The sequence below is a fragment of the Homo sapiens genome, chromosome 8 (assembly GCF_000001405.40).
Source record: "Homo sapiens chromosome 8, GRCh38.p14 Primary Assembly".
Lineage (NCBI taxonomy): Eukaryota > Metazoa > Chordata > Mammalia > Primates > Hominidae > Homo > Homo sapiens.
In genome coordinates, this window is record NC_000008.11 from 93,305,113 (window position 1) to 93,326,974 (window position 21,862).

Below are 21,862 nucleotides of genomic sequence, written 5' to 3' on the forward strand. Positions count from 1 at the left end.
CCCATCAGATATAAACAATTTGGAAAGAGTCTGTGGATATGCTTGAATCAAAGATCTGAGCCAAGGAATGAGCAGTGGGCTTAAAATATACAGGAAAACTGAAAATGAAAAAAATACATTAACTTGGCCTGTGATAGTCCTCTTCTTTTCTGTGGAATATCAAGAAATTTCTGGCAGTTTACTATCCAAGAGAGATTATCCTTCAGTTCAAATACCCTTCACACATATTCATTATTTATAATAATACTTCACTATAGATTGTTCTGACAAAGTGAAGTACCTTATGTATTAACTTTTTCTGTGGGGAAAAAGCCAATTTACACAAATATATAAAAATCCATATAATAAAAATGTATTCTAGTCATTGAGTACTTTCTCACATAGAAAAATAATCTCCCATATATTCCTCTACTATACAGGATCACATCATTGGAATATAATTGCAATATATTCATTACAACACTTAGCAGACTATTCTCCCAAGTGCTGTCCCACTCATGTTCCTTCTTCACACAGAAATGATCAGTTCATTTAATGATGGAATTAATATATATTTTTGGCACCTCATCTTCATGATTTCACTCTTGGATCTTACCTTTTAAAAATGTTATTTAAAGTAGGAAATAAAACAAGGGATTTCCTCTCCTAAGGAAGAAATGCTTTGATGATGTTTCCATCTAGTATAAATCAAGTCAAACCTGTATGATATTTACAAAGAATTCACATATCACATTAAGCTCTTTGTTTGCTGACTTGTCCTGCTATATCATGCACAAAAACTTTGTTCTTCAGCCCACAGAATGGAAGCCAGTAGAGTCACAACTTGCATGAAGAGCAAAAACTTCTTTCCTATAGGAATGGGTAGGAGACTCCATATCTCATACAACAGAAGTAACTGCAGAAGGTAGATAGTCTCTCACTTGGGAATGGAGGATGTGCTACCTGACAGTCAAAGTAAATTCTCCTACAATAATGTTGCATTTATTTACTTACATACTTGATTGTACCTACTAAACTAGAATCTCTTTGAGAACAATAATCATGTTTAAATCATCCTTGATCTCTATTACATAGCATGGAGATTCGATACATTATTTAAATACTCCAGGAAAATATCAATTTGTGATCCCCACAAGAAGGCAAAACTTCAGTTGCCACGGATCAACAAAATGGATCAAGATGTCAAAAATAAGGCCACACCCTTTTCTTCCCTGTAGAACTTGGAACCTTAAAAGGAATCTCTGCAACAAGTTCATATAACCTTTTACCCAGGCAAAACATTTTACAGGTACATGCCCTCTTTCTCCCCAGACTATATACAGACCCATTTATCTCTCACACACTCAAAGACACTCCCGACAGGGAGTACCCTCTTTGCACCTTGACAACTCCAATTCCTCCATGACTTGGTACCTGCCTGCCTCTGCAACCACATTGCCAGCTGGTCATCTTTTCAGGACTCAGTTACCTCCTCTCTGTATAGTTTCCAGCCCCATACTCTGTTCAGAAAATTTAATCCCTTCCTTTTTTTAGGCCTTCACTCTTCTATGTCTTCTGTCCAGTATATTACAGTAGCTATAACAATATTGCATTTCTTTATTTACTTATTAATGTCCCTATTAAACTAGAATCTCTTTGAAAACAAGAAGCAATATAAGTACTGTGTACTTAGTGCATAGTACTTACCCAATAGATGTTTGATAAATGAATGATAGATAAATGAGAGAAAGTCAAGATTAGGGAAATTAAACTTGCCCAAGGTCTCAAAGTGCCTGGGGCAGAACTAGAACCATGTGACCCCATCTGCCTGACTCTAAAACTCACACCCATTCCACTGTATCCAACAGATTGGATAAAAAATGGTTTTTTTCTTCCACATCAAAAGGATTGCTCAATTCAGTGTTATGACATTAAAGGAATTTCACGTATCACCTGGGTTCAGCAGCTCAGTGGATTCCAGTAAACACAACTCCTTCCTCTACTCCCTCTCCACCCTCAAGATAGCTTTCTTAAGTCACACTTTGTGACACCAATTGAAAGAAAGCAAGGGCCACAGGAGACAGACCTGACAACAACCCCACTCTACAATCCCTGGGGTGGCCACCTCCCAGTCCACAGAATGCTGCCCACCCAGAGCTCCATTCCCTGTGGTCCCTCCTGCCTATTGCCTATTCTATCACTGAGTGCTGCTTTGTCACCTCCTTGCTCTAGCACCCTGCAAGGCCTCCAAATCTCCTGAGCACTGACTACCACTCAGTACCTCCTTCCCCAGGCTTCCATCAATGGCCTCTTTTCTGATACTGCCTCAAGCTCAGCCTGGCCCCTTTTGGAGCCTGGGATTCAGATAGCTGCATTTCCAAATAGACCAAGAACCGTGAAAACAAATAACATTTATCAAGTTGTTGGGTTTTTTTTGTTTTTTTTTTTTGTAGCATTTGAAGAATCATTGTGTTGTCTAGCAGCCATAAAAATCTATTTCTTTTTGTAAACCAACATTTAAATTAAGAAACAAAGGCATATCTTTTCAAAATCATGTATAACCCCATATTCCAACAGAGCAAAGCTCATTTATAAATATGCAAAAAGACTAAAAATGGTTGAAATGAGACTTCGACTATGTTCTCTCCCTCCCCCACCAACTGATACTCCAAGGAGAAGCTACCCGATCCTGATGTTTACAGAATGACATCCATCACACAGGTAATTACTCATCCATCTCAATCCTTCCTTTTAAGTTTGCCCTTAAGAAGCCTGTGATCTCCCAAGTCAAGGGCCTCAGTAAAATCAATAAAACCTCGTCCTATCAGGCCACAAGCCAGATCATTTTCCACCTTTTAACAAGGCAGTGGTTATTAAATGCTTTGTTTGAAAACCCAAGTGGGGTGATCAGACTTTCATGATGAGAATAATCCATCAATTGTACATGTGCTATCTGTTGAGTGTCTTTGATATGAATGATAAAATAGGCAATGGCATATAGTTTTTCAATATCGGAACATGTTCTCCTTTTTCACATTGGGGTTGTGGCATAGCAAAGGGAATTTCATGACTGGAGAAAGCTTGTTAAGAGAGAAAAGAATTTCATTGCATTATTTCAGTCAATGCATAAGATACGCTGTTGGTTCCAACTTTGAAAGCTAAGCTCCAAGCTGTCAGTGGCTTCTTTAGTTCTTAACTCAGCTATTCAATGACCAGATTTTGAAACCTGTAAATTTGCAGTAGGATACACCTTATCATAATAATTAATGTCATACTTTTTCATTAGTTGGATTCTGGCCCTGAATTTGTAGGGGGATTGAGATCTCAGATCACACAAATTTAAAAGTGTCAGTTGATGTTAGATTCTTCTTCAAATCTTCTTCAATACCAAACAATCATAAAATAACAACCACACAGAAAAAGCCATACAAATATACTTTTTGTGCATGTCTGTGAAAATAAATCTGTCCTTCAATACATTTCTGGCATCATAATTGCTAAAGTCTCATATTCCGACACTGTCAGACATCAGTGAATGATAAAAAGAATCTATCACTTGACAAATGGAAGATCTTCTTTCTTCTTTCTGTATTCTGTTTGATTTAGTTAGGGAAGCATTTTAGGGTTATGCATTTTCCACTTAAATCTACTCATTTTTATTGTTTCACATTAATGATGAAATTAAAAGGAGACAATTTCAAAACCCTACTGTATTATTCCAGATTTACAGAATCAACAAATTCAAATTTCAATTTATGACCATTTCCAGTAAGAGATGATTATCTGGCATCCTACCAACTAAAAATGCCTATTAAGCCAGCACTCCTGCACTTTATCAGGGCCAAGATGATTGAAATGGTGGTGGGAATCCTGAGAAACAGCACAATTTTGAAGTGTCTTCAAATTTATTAAATGAAGATTAAATATACTTATATAACTTTGATACTTTTAATGTTCTAATTCTTTGAAATTAAGTAAACCTCAAATGGCTTATGTGGTTATCTCAATTTACCAGATTGCCCCAAACACTTATTTCTACAATCTAAGGGTATAACAGAGAGTGAGCTGTTCTATTCTTTCCTGGCCCCTCAGAAATAAGCGCTGGCATCTGGGCCAAAATGAATGAGGCCACAGAGTCAATGAAGACATGACTGCACTTTGCATCTTCTGCTTAGTCCTGTTCCCCTTGTTTTTATTGGAATTTATTTAGAGAGAAAATGATTTAGAGGAAGAAATTAAATGGGTCAGCTTCAGCCAGCTTACATTCCCCTTGTTATGAGTAATAACAGAAGAAAAATAGTGGTGAGGAGGATAATGTGAATAATCACAAGCCTTTTATTTATGGATTTAGGTTTACTTTACAAAGCACTCTCAGTATACTATCCCATTTATCTCTCGAAGCCATGCTCTGGGGTGGGAGATGCTGTGGTGCAGAACACCAGCTCCATGTAGGCAGATGTACCTCTTTCCAAATCCCCTGATCTGTCACTGGCTGTATGACCCTGGACAAGATACTTAATATTCTCCACCTTAGTTTCTACTTACTTCATAAGGTTGATGCAAGGATAAGTGAGATTATGATTAGGGCAATTACTAAGATTCACAGAGCACTGACTGTATGCACAGTGATTTCACGCATTTTCTTATCTAAGCTGTGCATTCCCCAAAAGCTACTATTATTGTTATCTCTATTTTATCAGTGTGGGAACTGAGTCATAGAAAAGTTCATGACTTGCCTGTCACTTGCCTAAATCAGTGGAAGTTTGGATCCTCCACTGTTGGCCTAGGACTGATATAGCTCACCTTCCTGCTCCAAGACAATAGCCTTCTTCAAGCCCCTTTCACCTGCCTCCTTCCTTCTCCCATGAGCCTCTGCACCTGCACTTTCCTCCCTTCTCTGCCTTGTTGGTGCCTACACCTTCTCCAGGTCTCCATTTGGGAGTCACTTCCTCAGGGGAGACTTCCCCAAGCTCCCTTGTGGTCAAATCCTACATTAGAAGCTCCCGTTACACAAGTCCCTTTACAGTAGAATGCAGTTCTCTTTGAAATTTTACTCTTCTTTGTTGGATTACAACTGTGACGGACTGCCTCCTCCACCAGTCTGTAAGTGCCTGAGACAGACCCCATGTGAGTTCCACTTACCATATCCTCTCAGCACCTAACACTCCCTGGCACAAAGGAGGGCACAATCATGTTTTTTAAAGAATTGTGAATGAATATACTAAGAGCATAATACATTTTGGCTCATATTTTGTCCACCCCAGTTTGCTGATGAAGAAATTAAGGCTCAGCGAGGTTAACCAAGCTTCCCAAGGTTACCCAGCTGGTGTACTCTAAATCAGACTCACAATGAAGTCTATGGGCTCTTTGCAAGGCTCTTACAGTCATACTCAATTATTTTCTAACTAAATAACAAATATAGATGTGACAGGCAGAATAGGCCCCCTCAAGATGTCCAAGGCCTAATCTCCAGAACTGGTGAATTTGTTACCTTGCATGGCAAAATGGATGCTGCAGATGTGAGCAAGCTAGGGATCGTGAGATGGGGAGGTTATCCTGGATTATCAAGGAAGGACTAATGTAATTACAAGTGCTCTAATAAGAGGGAGGCAGGAGGATCTGATTCAGGGAAGGAGGTGTAACGGCAAGGAGAGGTCCTCATGACCAGGAGCCAAGGCATGTGAGAAACCTCTCGAGGACGGCAAAGGCAACGAACAGATTCTTCCCTGGGGTCTCCAGAAGGAAGGAAGCCCTGCCGACACCTTGCTTTTAGCCATATAAGACCTAACCTCGGACTTCTGACCTGCAGAACATTAATAAATTTATATTGTATTGTTTTGGATCACTAAATTTGTGGTAAATTGTTAACACCAGCAATAGTAAACTAATACAGATGTTAATGACCTTGGATCCATTGGTAAGGTTGTCTGCATGGTAATGTAATAATAAAATGTCATGGATGTTATGCTGCAAGTTCAAGCTCAGTGGATAGATACAAACAATACACTACAATAAAGGACCTCCTGTTGAACTCAATCTATCCAATTAGTTGTTTGAGCCAGGTATTTCAAACAAACAAACAAACAAAAATTCTATTCTTTAGTCTCTAACCCTGAAAAATCTAAATTTAAAAAAAGAATTCATGATTAATCCCATATTCTTTTTTTTCCATGAGATAGTCCAATGTATTGGGGAAAATCCGTGACTGAAAGGCAGATTTTGATTTAAGGCCCACTCATCTTCTTTTAACCATGTGACATTAGGCCATGCACTTTCTCTCTCTTTCTTCATTTTATTTTGAAAGAAACTGAAAGGCATACTTTGAAGCTACTTCCCAAATATACCATTCTATGATTTTATCATATTACTATTTGGCCTGAGAAACTTCATCTTTTCAATTAAGAAGTCTTGCTATGTTCTAATCTATCCCTCCCAACATATGCCACTCCAGGTTTCTTCTTGCATACTACCCCACAATGAAACTAAAATTCATTCTGCAGGCATGTGCAACATTTATAGTTCATGAAGATTACAAAAGAGTTGAGAGTTCAATCTGCCATAGGTCATTGTATATGAGTTCAGAATCTTCACCAAGCCGGGTGTTAGAACATGGCTGTACTCTGAGTCTGCCCCTAATGTGTGGGAAAATTCTGCGTAGATCAAGAACCCTCATTAACTACCCTTAACTTACAGGTATATTAATAACTAATAAAGCATGATTTTTAAAAGCCTACAATTTTATCAATGAAATATACATACTTCCTATCATTTAGATTGCTTTTAGTATTTATCATTTTAAAGACTCAGACAAGAGAATAAGAAATGTAAGAGAAAGTGATCAGAAGAAGCACATGGGAGAAGGGTTTACAAATAAGTCCTTGGCCTTTTCTCCGCTGGAGACCTGTAAATATAAAAAGATTTAGAACAATCAAAATCAGAGATGCTACTGGCGTCACCACGTGCCTGCTGACAGACAGATAATTTTGCTAATATACTCAGTGGAACTGGAAAAATTGAAAAATCTATTCTCTGTATATTGTAATGGCTCAAGCAATGAAAAATTTATATTAGTATTGATAATGACATCCTTGGAACAAGAAAGACGCAGGGGCTGGAAGCACACTGTACTTTTAAAAATCACACCAGGGTTTGTTTCTGGAAAGACATAATTCCTGTCTTAACTAGTGCTTTTGTGACTTATCTTCATTATGTAATACATAGGATAAAGAGATATATAAGACAAGAACACTAGTAAGCTAACGGTAACAAAACAAATGGCCTTCTTTCCAAATAGATATTTTTCAAAATGTTGTATTTCTAAATACATACCAACCAGCATTATTAATGTATGGGGATATGTATAGCTCTTTATCATTACAGAAATGGCTTATGATTGGCTCTGAAATGGAGTGTCTAAGAGACCTGTTTCACAGCTGTCTCTAGGACTAGAGTCTCCTTTAGAAGTTCTCCTGAGCAGTTGATCAGGGAATAGACTCATCAGTTGAGAAACACCACCATGCCAAACCTATTCTCATGTTCTCAGTGGAGGCAGACAAAGCAGCTGTGAGGTTCAGCCTCAGTTGTGAGGTTCCCTACACAATTACTGGGTTACAGAATTGTAGGGAAGGTAGGCCAAGAGTTTCTGAAAAGGAAAAGTAGATGGAAAAAGTGAGTCATTGGCAAAAGCTCAAGTTATATAATTTCCCTAGCAATGGCTCAAAAAACTGGAAGGATTTTTTAACCTGAATCCAAATGTTTATTAAGTTCATTGGCTAGGCTAATATTTATTAAGTGTCTATGATGGGCCAATATAGACTAAGAGTGGTAGGTTAGAGGAAGGGTTGGAAGGGGTTTATGCAAAAAGAGAATAAGTAGTGGTTTGCTATGGTAGCCTTGTGGTATTCACACCTGCGTACAGTCCTTCACACATGGAGTTAGAGTTAGCTGTGTGGTCAATAGACATGTGGTGGGAATAATGGTATGTTACTTCTGAGGCTAGTTCATACAATAAAACATTATGGCTTCAGCCTTGGTCTTTTGGATCACTCATTATGGGGAAAGCCAGCCACCATGTTATAAGGACACTCAACAGTCCTGTGGACAGAGCCACATGGAGAGCTGCAGAAGCCCCAGCCAGGAGCCAGCACTAATTTGCCAGTTATGCAAGTGGGCCACCTTGGAAGTGCCTCTTCCAGCACCAGCAAGCTTTCAGATGACTGCAGGCTCAGCCAATATCTGACTGCACATTCATGAGAGATGCTAAGTCAAAACTGCTTTGTCAAGACCGTCCTGAATTCCTAGCCCACAGAAACTGTACAAGAAAATAAGCCATTGTTCTTTTAAGTCACTAATTTTGGGGATGATTTGCTACACTTTAATAAATAGTGAATACTTTTAAATGGATGTCATGAGTTTAAGCAGACCTAGGAGGCAATCTAACATAGTGTTTAGGAACAGAGTTACTGGAGTTACACATTCCTCTTGCATTGGAATCCTGAGTGATTCTCCAAGTTATTTCACCTTTCTAGACTTCAGTTTCTTCATCTGCAGAATATGGATAATAATAGTGGCTATCTACCACATTGCTGAACTATATAATTCTCCATAATTTATTCAAACTCTCAAATTCTGGATGACAGAATATATGCATGTATGTGTGTGTTTACATATTGATTTTATCTATACTTATATAGAGAAGAGAAGAGTGACACTGTTTATTAAGTGCTGACTCTATGTTGGCTCCTGGGCTAACAAGCATTCATACACATTAGACTGCCTTTGAGTAAGATGTGTTACTTGATATCAGTTGGGATTGTATCACTTAAAAACTCTCTGTTTTTAGAAGAATTGGTCCAAGGTGAAAGTTGTATGATAAAAGCTACTGAATTGTAATCAAGTTCTATTGCAGCAAATTAATCTTTGAACAAAAGCTGGGAAGTATTTTCATAAACCAGAAACCAAAGAGAAAACTTTATTATAACTTGGTAGTAAGTTGACCCTTTTATACTTTGGGGACTGGGAAAAATAATCCATGGGTGTTTACTACAGGAAAAAATGGAGGCTTATAGGGATGCTCTTGGCCTCAGGGAGGCAATACTGAAAGTCTGTATCAGCTTCCTGGTAGAGCCCCTGGCCTGGACCCAGCCCTCTCGGCCTGCTAGCAGTGGAAGCTGTGTTTGGCCTTACAAAAACAAAACAAAACAAAAAAACTTTATTATAACAGCCTTTTTGTTATTGGGACCTGAAAATTCACTGTTGTAAATGTCTTTCTTTTAAGTCTCCTGATTTGAAATATTTCACTTGTTTTTCTCTTATTCTTTTTTCCCCTTTCTGCTCTCCCCACAGTTTCTGGTAATTATGAGAACCTTGGATTTATCCTTCCAAAGACTCTCTCCATTTTTTGCCAATTCCAATTTGTTCTGAATCCTGAAATAAATGAAATAAATAATAAATGAAAAGGCCAGAGGCAACGGCACTGTCACCCTGCACACCCAGGGGAGAACCCAGAGGTTGTAGGACGCTCTCTGCAGAGAAGATGGAAAACAATGTCTCAGGGGCCCAATTATTTACTGTAGCTGCTGAAATGAGATGATTTATATCGGTGACAAGGCTGTCCTGGAATAGTAGCCAAGTGTATAAATTTAGATCTATTATATAAAAAAACCATCCCTGGGCCCCAAAGAGTCCAACTTAAAAAGAAATTAAATGACTCTTGGTTGTACATATACATTCTGCACTTTATACATAGAGACAGGTATTTGCTATTTAATGATTACTGGATATTCTAACATATCTAATTGGTGTAGGTTCAAGAAGCTGAGAATATAACCATTTTGTGTCTCAAATTTATAAGGTCATACCAAATAATTTGAGCTAGGCCATACATAGGTTGAAGAGAAGAAACTTTTAATTAAGGACCAGCTTTAATTTTCTGGTGCATTATATGAATAACCAAAGTATTTAACTGGCCATGACCTTGGTAGAGAAATATGCAAGGGTTAAGCTCACTAGATTGAGATCAAGATTTGATTCCTTCAAAACAACACCCTACAAGGTCACGTACTGAAATGAGAAATTCAGAATGTCAAATAGCAATGCTAGTTCCATTGGACGAGGATCAAAAGGAAATTCATTAAAGCCCTGGGAGAGTCCAAAGCACAGAATTCCCAGGCCTTAGTTATCAGGAGAAAGGAGACAGTCATTGGCTAAAGCTCAGAGGATCAGGTTGCTGCATCGTCAAGAGAGTTGATAGTGAAGTTTTTTGAGGGTGTACGTGATCAGTTAAAGAAAAGTAAGCACTCAGCCTGAATATATACACTTACACATATACATGGTTCACTACATATCATGTACATTATAAAATGCACACAAAAACAAAAACTCAGAAAGCAACAATAAGAAGATGCAAATAAAAAGGAATAATTAGATGTTCCCTAATACTTTCAATACCTCTTCACTGATTACAGCAATTTCACTGAGATTTAAAGATAAGTATAAAGGTTATAGAAACAGTACTGGGATGGGGTGAAGGACAAGAAATGGCAGACATCAGAGACTGTGGACATTTTTTGGTTTGCCTGCCCAGTACCTAATGTTCAAGAAAACAGGTAGTGGTGGGTAATAAGGATATCATTATAATTGCTCAGCCTCCCAATAAGATTTTATTCTCTTCCTTGTGACAGCGAAGGGCAGTACCCAAGAGAGGTATCTTCCTTATTTGCCCTCACCCCACCACTCCTTGGACTCCACTTTCCTATTATCTACATGGCAGTAGAAAAGCCAAACACTAATATCAACTAGACAAAGAAAGGAAAGTAAATTAACTCTTACTTTCTTCTTTTACTTTTTTATGAAACAGAGTCACTTTATCACCCAGGCTGGAGTGCAGTTGCACAATCTCAGCTCACTGCAACCTCCACCTCCTGGGTTCAAGCAATTCTTGTCCCTCAGCCTCCCAAATAGCAGGGACTATAGACGCGCACCGCCATGCCTGGCTAATTTTTGTATTTTTCGGTAGAGATAGGGTTTCGCCGTGTTGGCCAGGCTGGTCTGAACTCCTGGCCTCCAATCGCCCACCCACCTCAGCCTCCCAAAGTGCTGGGATTACAGGAGTGAGCCACCGTGCCTGGCCAGCTCTCACTTTCATGGTGACACTAGAAGGACTGATACCAGGATTTTCCCACAGACTGTCTGCCCATCTGGGGAGCCGTGACTCTCAGACTTAAATCAACTACAAAGAATAATTGTTTGTAGTTGAAAATATCAGAGATGCTCCCACCCGGGAAAGTCTGTTTTAGTTGGTCTGCTGTGGGCCTGGAAATCTGCATTTTATAAGTATCCAGATGATGACAAGGCAGGTGACTGACAGCAGCCATAAGGAAGGAGATAGACTTCCAGATCCTGACTCCTTAGGCAGCCGTGGCTCAGGTTCCATCCTCCCTACACCCGTTTTTCTGAAGAAGGAAGGTCAGAAGATATTGACTGTGGGGAATATGTCAGAGACTCTCTAGCAAGAGGTCAGAGAGGTAGACTTGAGTAGGTCCCCTGAACATCAGTTACACTAAGATCCACAGATGCCCTCGGGCAGCACCATTGCAGTGATCTCCTCCAATGACCCATCCACAGGGGCTGAGCTCAGCTACCCTACCTTCAGCTCCAATCCCTGACAACACGGCCTTTCTGCAGGGCATCTTAGCACTCAGGAAGCACAATGGGTGAGGAGTCATGAGACAGCCTCAGGATTCTGTGAAGGGGTAAGGGTAAGAAAAAGTACTGAGGGACTGTGAGATGAGAGAGCATTCAAGACTTTGGGTGTGTGGTAGAGATAGATTGAGGGGTGCTATTATAATTAGAAATATACATGGTGGCAGACAGTGAAGGGTATTGAAATGCTATTATGGAGTCGGATATGATTAATTAAGCAATGAGAGCCTCTGAAGGTGTTTTCAACAGGGTAAATAGGCATAATAGGTAGAGCTTAAGGAAAGTAATCTCATGGCAATATGAGGATGTATTAGAGGCATGGGAATGTGAATGCAAGAAAACCAGGTTCAATAACTGTAGGTTTAATAAGTCACTATTTTTGACAGCTTATTAAGGAATTAACTGAGGAATTAATGAGGACTTAGCCACTAAGAAACCTAGTGATAGTGATAAAAAAAGGAAATTCTCATGTATATTGCTGCCTACCTAGAAATACGTGGCTACCTATTTAGAGATTAATGCATATACATGGTCCCATCACAGCCTTAAAATAAATTAACATGTTTGAAAATGTACCCTCCACTCCCAAACCTTACTTCCAACTCCTAACCCACACCACACCCATTATGACCAAGGAGACAAAACAAATTTAAGGACTTCATAATTGAATTTAATTTTGCACACAGAGAAATTCTTTTTGGTGTTGCTTTGGATTTAAACAACAGAAGAAGGATAGCCTTTTTGTCCAGAATGAGAAGGAAATGCTGAAAAAAAAAAAAAAAAGCAACATATCCTGGATTGCCTCCATAACAACTGTCACTGTATTTTACATGTCTGTTTCCCCATTAGATTATAAGGTTCTTGAGGGCAGGGTCCATATCTCTTGTGCATTGTGCTAGTCCCAACAACAAGAGCAATGACTAGTTAATATGCAGAAGTCCTGTGAAATGATCTTGATACAATAAATTGTTCAGGTCCATTAGAATGCCATAGAAATAATGTCATAACTCACTAGTGGAAATAGCTTATTTTAAAACCCTACTGATTTGCCAAACAAATCCAGGTCTCTAATGCTAAGGCCAAGTGACCTGACTCATTTCTCACACCCTGGAAGGCCCTCTACCAAACATGTTCACACATTGAAGGAGGGAATCCTCCCCTCACCTTATGTGTGTGTTTGTCCTGTTTCTGTCCCAGGGACCACATTCTGAGATGTCCCATTTGTGTGTTACAAGAATAAATGCATCACTGCAAATGTAATTGTAGCTCCTCTGAGAACTAAATGCTCTTCTATTTATTTTCTTGACTTATGCATATTTGATAGGTTGAGGTTGCAATACTAACCTTGCTCAATATCTGAAAAGAATATCTTGATTCATGAATTCTGTAAACATTTATTAAATTACAGCATGTTATGTGATGATAAGGATCGATGGAAGGGAGCTAAAGGAAGAACTGTTTACATAATTTCACAGAGGATGTACTAGGATAGAATAACTGCTATAACAAGCAACCTCCAATTTCAGTGGCCATGCACAATACAACCTCCAATTTCAGTGGCCGTGCACAGTACAAGATGATACCTGGCTCACTCATGCAAGATTCACTGCAGATATCCCTGGTTAAACAGCTTTCCTAGGGTGCTCTCCTCTATGTGTCCCTTAGGGACTCAAGCTCCTTTCACCTCCTGACACTGTTGTCCTCAGCATGTGATCTGTAAGTCCCCATGGAAGAGAAAGCAAGAGAGTAAAAGATCAAGCATAGGAGATTTCAATAGGCCAGTACTGGAAGTGGCAGAGATCAGCAAGGATAATGGTAAATCGAGTTTAGCAGTAAACACAGAAGGAAAAGGAAGCGGGTTTGGAGAATACACAGCATTGTTTCTGCCAGAGTATAAAGTTTCTGATGATCTGTCAGTGAATTTTTTCCTATAATGAGGCCTAAATCCGCCAAGCACAAACTAAAAAGCAATGTTGTATGGTGGGGAGCTATAATTATTATTTTATATTATATGAATTATATTCTAATTATTGTACATATTTGATAGCACTATTTTCTGTCAAATCCCTGATAATTATAGCCCCAGCCATCTCCATTTCCAAATCTTTCTTCTGAACTTTAGCATTAATTCACCCTAGTACCCATTCAAAAATCAGGCTGTTGCATTTTAAATGGTTATTTTACAAGAGTGATCCTCTTTTTTCATGCTAGTAAAGATGACCTTTATAAATTCTAAGACCTAATCATTTTAGTTAATTCAAAACAGGTGGAAAATACCTCATAGGAAGTCATTTGTTATGCACAAGATCAAGCTGAAATGTCATCACCTCTCTGTAACTCTCTCTCCTTGAGACTTCCTTTCCCAGATAGAATTAATTGCCCCTCATCTGTGTTTTCACAGCATTTTATACACACTGAGTTTTAGAATGAATCTCTTTATAGTACAGTCATGTGCTACATAATGACATTTCAGTCAACGACAGACCACATATACAACAGGGGTCCTAGAAGATTATAATACCATAATCTTAATGTACCTTTTCTATGTTCAGATATGTTCAGATACACAGATGCTTATCATTGTGTTATAGTTGCCTACAGTATTCAGTACAGTAACAAGCCGTATAGCAGGGGTGTCCAAACTTTCGGCTTCCCTGGGCCACATTGGCAGAACTGTTTTGGGCCACACATAAAATAAACTAACACCAACAATAGCTGATGAGCTAAACAATATAAGTCGCAAAAAATCTCATAATGTTTTTGTTTTTTGTTTTTTGAGGTAGAATCTCACTCTGTTGTCTAGGCTGGAGTGCAGTGGCACCATCTCAGCTCACTGCAACCTCCGCCTCCCAGGTACAAGCGATTCTTGTGCCTTAGCCTCCTGAGTAGCTGGGATTACAGGCATGCACCTCCATACCTGGCTAATTTTCATATTTTTAGTAGAGACAGGATTTCATCATGTTAGCCAGGCTGGTCTCAAACTCCTGGCCTCAAGTGATCCAACTACTTTGGCCTCCCAAAGTGCTGGGATTACAGGCATGAACCACCACACCAGGCCAAAATCTCAAGGATTTAGAAGGTTTATGAATTTGCGTTAGGCTGCATTCAAAGCCATCCTGAGTCACATGTGGACAGCAGGCCATAAGCTGGACAAGCTTGCTGTATAGGTTTATAGCCTAGGAGTCATAGGCTATACCATATAGCCTAGAAATGTAGTAGGCTCTACAATCCAGGTTTGTGTAAGCACACTCTGTGATATTCACACAATGATGTAATCACCTAACAATGCATTTCTCAGAATGTGTCCTCATTATTAAGCAGCACGTGACTCTGTAATTATTTGCTTACATATTTGTCTTCCCCTTAGACTTGAGCTCTTTTGGGCTAAGGGAATATGTGTCTTTAGTGCCTAAAAGAATTGCTGGCTCATAACAGGCACAGAATACACGCCACAACTGAGGTGATGCATCCTCAGTTGTACTCCTTGGAGCACTGTGTCTACACCACCATGATAGCTCTTACAAAACAGTACTGCAACTTATTTTATGTTTTTATGTGTCTCTCTGGCTACTAAACTGTGAGGTCTTTGGGGCAGGAATAATATCTTTTGTGCCAATTGCCTAGCATATTTTTCTATACGTTCAAAGCCCCACTTGTTCCAAAACTGATTTTGTATGCTTTATACTAAACATAGTGCATTAGGATAAAAAATAGATAACTGAAGAAATCATGTCAGAGAGTAAATAAGGGTAGGAAAAAAGAGTCCAAGAGTGAGACGAATACATAAAATGCCTGGCAGAACATACTATACTGGATTTGTGAAAAGTCAACCACGAACTTGGCTCTGAGCTTTCTAGTAGTCAAAGCAAGAAGGGCTACATTCTTAGTAACAAAATGTAGTAACTAAAGAGTTCAAGCAAACTGTTTTCTTGAGGCAATGGTGGTTTGTTTTGGTGTTTTAAATTTTCGTTTCTGTTTCTCAGCTACTCGTGGTTTTTGCCAAACCAGGTGTTATAACCATGAACTGAATATTTGACTGTTTACATATAGACCTAGGAACTGTTGCTAAAGGATGAGAGATGACATCTTTCTTCTAAGCTCTAAGATGAAGTTCCAGGAGATTCATAGAAAACAAAGGATCACAACACAAATTACAATAGCCCCTCATTTCTCTCTTTCCTCCCAGGCCCCTGATGTCACCAATCCAGAAATAAGGGCACATAGGCCCTAGGATGCCTTCAACAAGACCAAATTAAGGAGCAAATGATCTCTTCTACCTGGTCCAGAATGTCTACCTAATAATGGCATCAACCACCAGCCACAGTGTATGCCAGTACTCAAATGCTGGTATCAAGCTAGCTGCGTATAAATTACCGGGGGAGTTGTGGGGCAGGGAACTTACATCTTTAATGGATATTTCAGAAAATTCTAATTTACTCAGTCCTAATGGAAGCCCAGAAATCCATATTTTTAAAAATCTCCCAGGTGATTCTGATGAATGGCTAAGTTTGCAAAATCCACCAATACATTTCCTTTATATAAAAATATAAGTGAAATTTCCATGAATTTATTTTTTTTTTTGTTTCCATTCCACCACTCCTAGTTTCTGTAGCTTACTACATCTGTTTCTACATATACAGCTACAAGAGACAACTCCCTTCCCTCACTGGTGAGAGATACAGCCCATCAATGCTGTGGCCCCAACCTGGCATTTAGGGTTTGAGGAATGATTAATTCATGGGCTCTATATTATCCAAAGAAGTATATTAGTAGAGATATAAAATTTCTGACAGACAATATCTACCATGCTAACAAATCAATCCAGGAATCAAAGAAATTGCTTCCATTATGCAACACCAACAATAACAACTGACAGCTATCAAGTACTTAATGTGGGCGAGGTACTGGACTGTGTGCTCTATAGGACTTTTCACTTAATATCCCAGAAGTGCCCTATGAAGTAGATATCATCATTTCCACTTTATAGCTAAAGTAAGAGTATTTATTAAAAAATATTTATTAAAGTAAGAATATTTATTCTTACATTACAGGTAAGAATAACAAGAGGTAAAAGAATTAAGTGACTTGTCTACAGTTTCACAGATAGAAAATAGCAAAACCAGGGTTTGGCTCTAGGCAATCCAACCTTGCTCTTCACCTGCTCACTATCCTCCCAGAAGCCAGGGAGGACATCTTAAAATTAATATGTGTTCGAACTGAAAGCCCAACCCTACTTTGGCTAAGGTATTTTTAACTTTTACAAAATGAAAGAAAATATTTGATACCTTTAATAAGAGTGAGTTTGCTAAAATTTAGCAGATGTATAATGCTGGAAACCACCCCCAAAATACTATAGATCAGGATATCTACTTCATTTATTCCCACTGCAGATGTTCTAGAAAAGGAATTGTATTTAGGACTGTATCTTGCACATAAAGGCTTCCGGTTCCTCTCTAAGTAATAAACTAATGCATAAAAGAATGAATGAATGAAAAAAGAGAAAAATCAAAGAGAAGGAAGTTGGGAGAAAAGATCTAAGATATGTTGTATTTTAGCCAGATTTTATAGTATTTTCATGCAAACAATTCAAACATTGGGAATCCATTTCATCACTCTAGAGCCTATCTGTGAAAGGAAGGATTTGGCCTACGTAATTACTCAGTTTTCTTGTAGCTCTTTTAAGACAGATTCTGTGACCACTCAGATCTCACAGAAAGGCAAATTTCTAGGGGAGTCTAAGATTTTTCTCCTTATTTTATATACGTAATCAAGATAGTTTAAAAAAACACTTGCGATTTTATGGCTCCTTATACCAATATTTTTTGGCTCATACACACATATCTAAGAATTGCTTTCACGTGAGATCAGAGAATTGAAGTTACTAAATAAATAATACCTGAGGGAACCATGTCAGTGAGTTTATTTATTCTGGGACCTTCAGGCTTTGGATACAAAAAGAGCACATCACGCTTCACACAGAGCACATCTGAAGTGCATACATTTGTTCAGCAGATGCATTTATATCTCAGGAATCATCTGGGCATGTGTAAATTTCCCTATATTGGTAGCTGTAGACATGAAGGAATATTACCAACATCCTAGAGAAAGGATCATGAAACTCCACAAGACTAAGGGAATGAGTATGGATGAAAGTGGAACATCTAGGAGAGTGCACTTACTGAAAGCACCAGTGTATGTTGCATCCCCACTCCTACCTCTGGTCACATTCATATCCATGCACACACGTGTGCAAGTACAGACCCATACACAACTGGCGTGAATAAAAGAGAGTCCCCACTGTCAGGTAGAGACCCAGGGCCATGTGAAAAAGCTGAGTCTGGTGGAAGAATGTAAGCCTAGGGCGCTCCTTCCTAGAATCCATATAGCATGTTTGTCTCCTTCTACAGTAAGTTTCTTGAGAGATGGATCTTGCTTATTCATTTGTATCCTTGGCATCCTACATAGGGCTGGGCAGAATCAGCTTTCAATACATAAGTCTGCTAAAAGATTGAGTAAATAAATCAATAAAGGAGTGAACACTGTATTCAAACAATCCAGCGTAGACTACAGCCCCCATAGAATGACCATCATAGCTTCCTGACTGCTCCTGCTGCCTGGACATGTGCCAGACAATACTAATGCCTTCTGTTATTAGCGTGCTTTAAAAGTTACTAAGGATGTTCATGTCTGTTAAACTCGTTTTATACCCACAACAACCTCTTGTTGGGAAGGCAGACACCTTGATCCCAACTTTATATATTAGGGAACTATGGGGCACAGAAGTAAAGTAATGTCTCAGTTCACACATCAGTGGACCTTACTGATAGAAATGGAACTCAAGCCAAAGCCTAGTTATTACTCCCTGCCTACTGTTCCACTGGAAGATGTGTATATCCAGTGAAAGATATATAAGATATATACATATATAGACATATATGTAGATATGGATATATATATACCTTCCAATGGAAGAGTAGGCAGAGTACAGTAGAAAAGTGGCACACACACACAGACATAGTACATTCTAATTACTCATGGTATTCCATAAAGTCTCTGCAAACACTCAGTTAGCAAATATGAAACTGTTGTTCCTAAGGATGAGCACTTGTGTGTGTGTGTGTGTATGTATATACACACTATATGTGTGTACAAATGTATACATATATTGTGTGTGTATATATATATATATATACACAGAATGATATAAATATGTAGATTGATCACCATCTTAAATCCTAAAAAATAACTTAAAATGTAAAAGGCTTTGGAAACGTGGATTCTATCTTCTGATATACATATACATCAACTTACAATTAAATATGAAGTAGTGTTCAGCTAAAGATGTGCAGTGCTTTGCTACAGGTAAGACATTGGTAATAGATTGGTAGATTCTATTTTCTTTATTTTACAAGTGAGAAAATGAGGCTCAGAAAAGTTGAGACTTGACTGAAGCTACCCCACTAACAGGCACCAGGGTTGGGATTCAGACCCTATCCAACTGGCCCCAGAGCCAGAGCTTCTTGTCCTACACTGCCCTGCCCCTCTACTGCCTGCATCCTCTGGTGACCTCTGTATGAGAGGACACAAGAACAGAGGAACGTCTTGTTTAAACCTCACCTGGGAATTCGTACATAGCAAGTCTCAAATTTTTCATGCTCTGCATGTACCTGAATGACTGTGAAAGCACCAGCAATATTGATTTCGGAGTTACAAATAAATATTAGTGAAGAGGTGAAGTCACAGATATGGACTCGGTGAATGATGAAGATTGACTAATAAATATCATATCATAATCGTATGGTACCATATCGTATCATATCATAGGAATGACCTTTCCCCTACATCTGGTCTCTTGGACAAGGGAAGCAAGACCAGGTTTGTGATAACAGGGCTGAGGCACCAATAGGCAACAGTGGCTTTTGCCAGTTTTCTACTTCTACATTTAGTCCTCTTCCAGTCTGCTGGCTAGACAGACATAGTTACTTCTGGCTTTCATGGTCCTTGTAACACTTGTGGGCACTGAACCAATGTAAAAAGAGAGGGGGAGATGTATTTCACACAAAGGACTCAGTTTTCTCTTACTCTGCCTTCAGCACAGGGAAAGAGAGACCATTGCCAACAGGGTGGGAGTGTGAGATGCAGTGAGGAAGCCATAGCAAGCCAGAGAATGCAGAGGCAAGAAATTCTAATCAAGAGCTTCAGGGAAGACAGCTCTGTGGTGTGGTCATCAAGAGCAACACTCTCGACTTTGAACTGGCATTAGGCCTGTTTGACATCTAAACAGCACAGCTGCAATAGTCTTGGACCAGCCAACAAAGCAATGGTTGCAAGTCAGGGAACACACAGAAGTGCCCAAGGTGGAGAAAGCAGAGCACCTTCTACGTTGGTCTCTGCAACTAAAGAGAGACCAATCGCATTGATTGCACGACTGGAGAGAGTGATTAGATCAGCATCTCTGAGCTAACTGCTACTTCATGAGCCTCTGCTCCCTATGGGCCCTGTGTCAGTCACTTGGCACATACTAGATATTTAATTCTGACAAGAACACAGTCTGGTGGATTATTGTGCTCTTTCCACCAATGAACAAACGAAGCCTTGAAGAGGTGAAGTGACTTGCCTAAGGCCATTCAACCAGTCACAGGGGCAAAGCCAGGATTTCAGCCTAGAGTTCTCTGAAGCCAATGGCCATGTTTTTTCCACTACACAGATACTTAGATGCCTTCCACAGTTCTGGAGAGAAATATAGATGTGGATCTAAAAATAGCTGGCAGGAGTTTCCCGACACTAGAATTCTCTGTTTTATTTAATAATGAAGCCAAATTAAAGGGCCCACTCTGAGGAAAAAGGAAAATGCAATTCATCAAATTGATGGCTTGTGTTCTTATATTAGGAAATTGACCTTCTGAGCTGAGTATTTCAATCTACGTGGTGATAATGTGTGTGTTCTAATAACTATAGATTTTTCATTCTCATTATCACAAAAGAAATAATTTGTTATAAAAGGCACAGTTCCAAAGGCATCTGACTACCCTTACTGAAAAAAAAATGTGAAAGGCTTTGGAAATATGTGGATTCTATCTTCTGATATGTACACATCAATTTAACAATTTAATATGAAGTAGTGTTCAGCTAAGGATGTGTGGTGCTTTGCTAAATGCAAGACATTTGAAAAAAACAATAGATTGGGATGTTCCATGATTCCCAAATTTGCCTGGATTCATTCATTTTTGCCCAGGCATACATGGAAGCCAGCCATGAACACATAACAAAACATGCATTTATCCCATGCTTCTAGGGAACAAAAGCTTTGCTCCAATACTCTCCTAACCTGCCACCTTCTCGGTCTTCTCAGACTATGGAACAAGAAACAGCATTCCTTTAGCTCCCAAGTCTTATGCATTGTATTTTTTTAATAATGTGCAATTGATTCAGTGCCTGTGAACTTCCTCTAAACATCCAAACCACTTAGGATCATTAAGATGCTTTCAGAATGCAGAGAATGTATCCCTCAAGTACTCTTTTCCACTTGCTGTATATTGAAAGTTGCCTCTGTCTCACCCAGTCTGGGTGTCAGCTCATGGCTCATTACTGTAAATTACTAACATTAGAAATGGTGAATCACCAAGATGAATTGTGGAAAATGTACACAAGAGGAATTACCAGGCCATGCGCTTGTGGGGTGTGCTAGGTGTTATTGTAGGAAAACAAGATGCAAGAGTTGTGAAGATATTAATTTACTATATCAATAATCATATTGCTGTGCAGGAATATAGAATGTAATTTTTAAAAGCAGCAACTACTATTCTGGTTTCTTTAACTGAAGCCACCCACTTCTGAGACATGGCTCAGCTTTGACAATGGATTGAACATGGCAGGAATGACAGCAGGGGGTTGAGGCTGGCTGGCCAGAGGTAGGAATAACACTTGACCATGTTGAACGGAGTCCACTGCCTTGGGCCCCTCTTTTGGGGTATCCTCAGTCTGTTGTCGTAAATGACAGAGAACCAGGGACTCGGGGAAACAGAATAGTCAGGAGGCCTAACGTAAGTCTAGAGAGTAAGTTTAAAAATAATGAGTACGGTCTCCATAAGTCATACAAGGAAATCAAGTATATTATATTTATGAATAATATATTTCATTATCCTGTGGTAGGACTAGCTTAACTTCTACACACATGCCT

The 21,862-nt window shown here is 39.1% G+C and overlaps 1 long non-coding RNA gene across 3 annotated transcripts in view, besides 1 other annotated feature; it reads right to left on the reverse strand.

Moving 5' to 3' along the window:
• LOC107986956 (uncharacterized) overlaps positions 1-21,862 on the reverse strand; it is a 90,023-nt gene that overhangs the window by 54,877 nt on the left and 13,284 nt on the right. The gene's annotated exons all lie outside the window — the stretch shown is intronic.
• Positions 4,556-4,756: a silencer, noted in NCBI's record as "peak7108 fragment used in MPRA reporter construct". NCBI's record gives its function as "represses an SCP1 promoter by STARR-seq MPRAs in K562 erythroleukemia cells {active_cell/tissue: K562}" and the evidence as "EXISTENCE:reporter gene assay evidence [ECO:0000049][PMID:32103011]".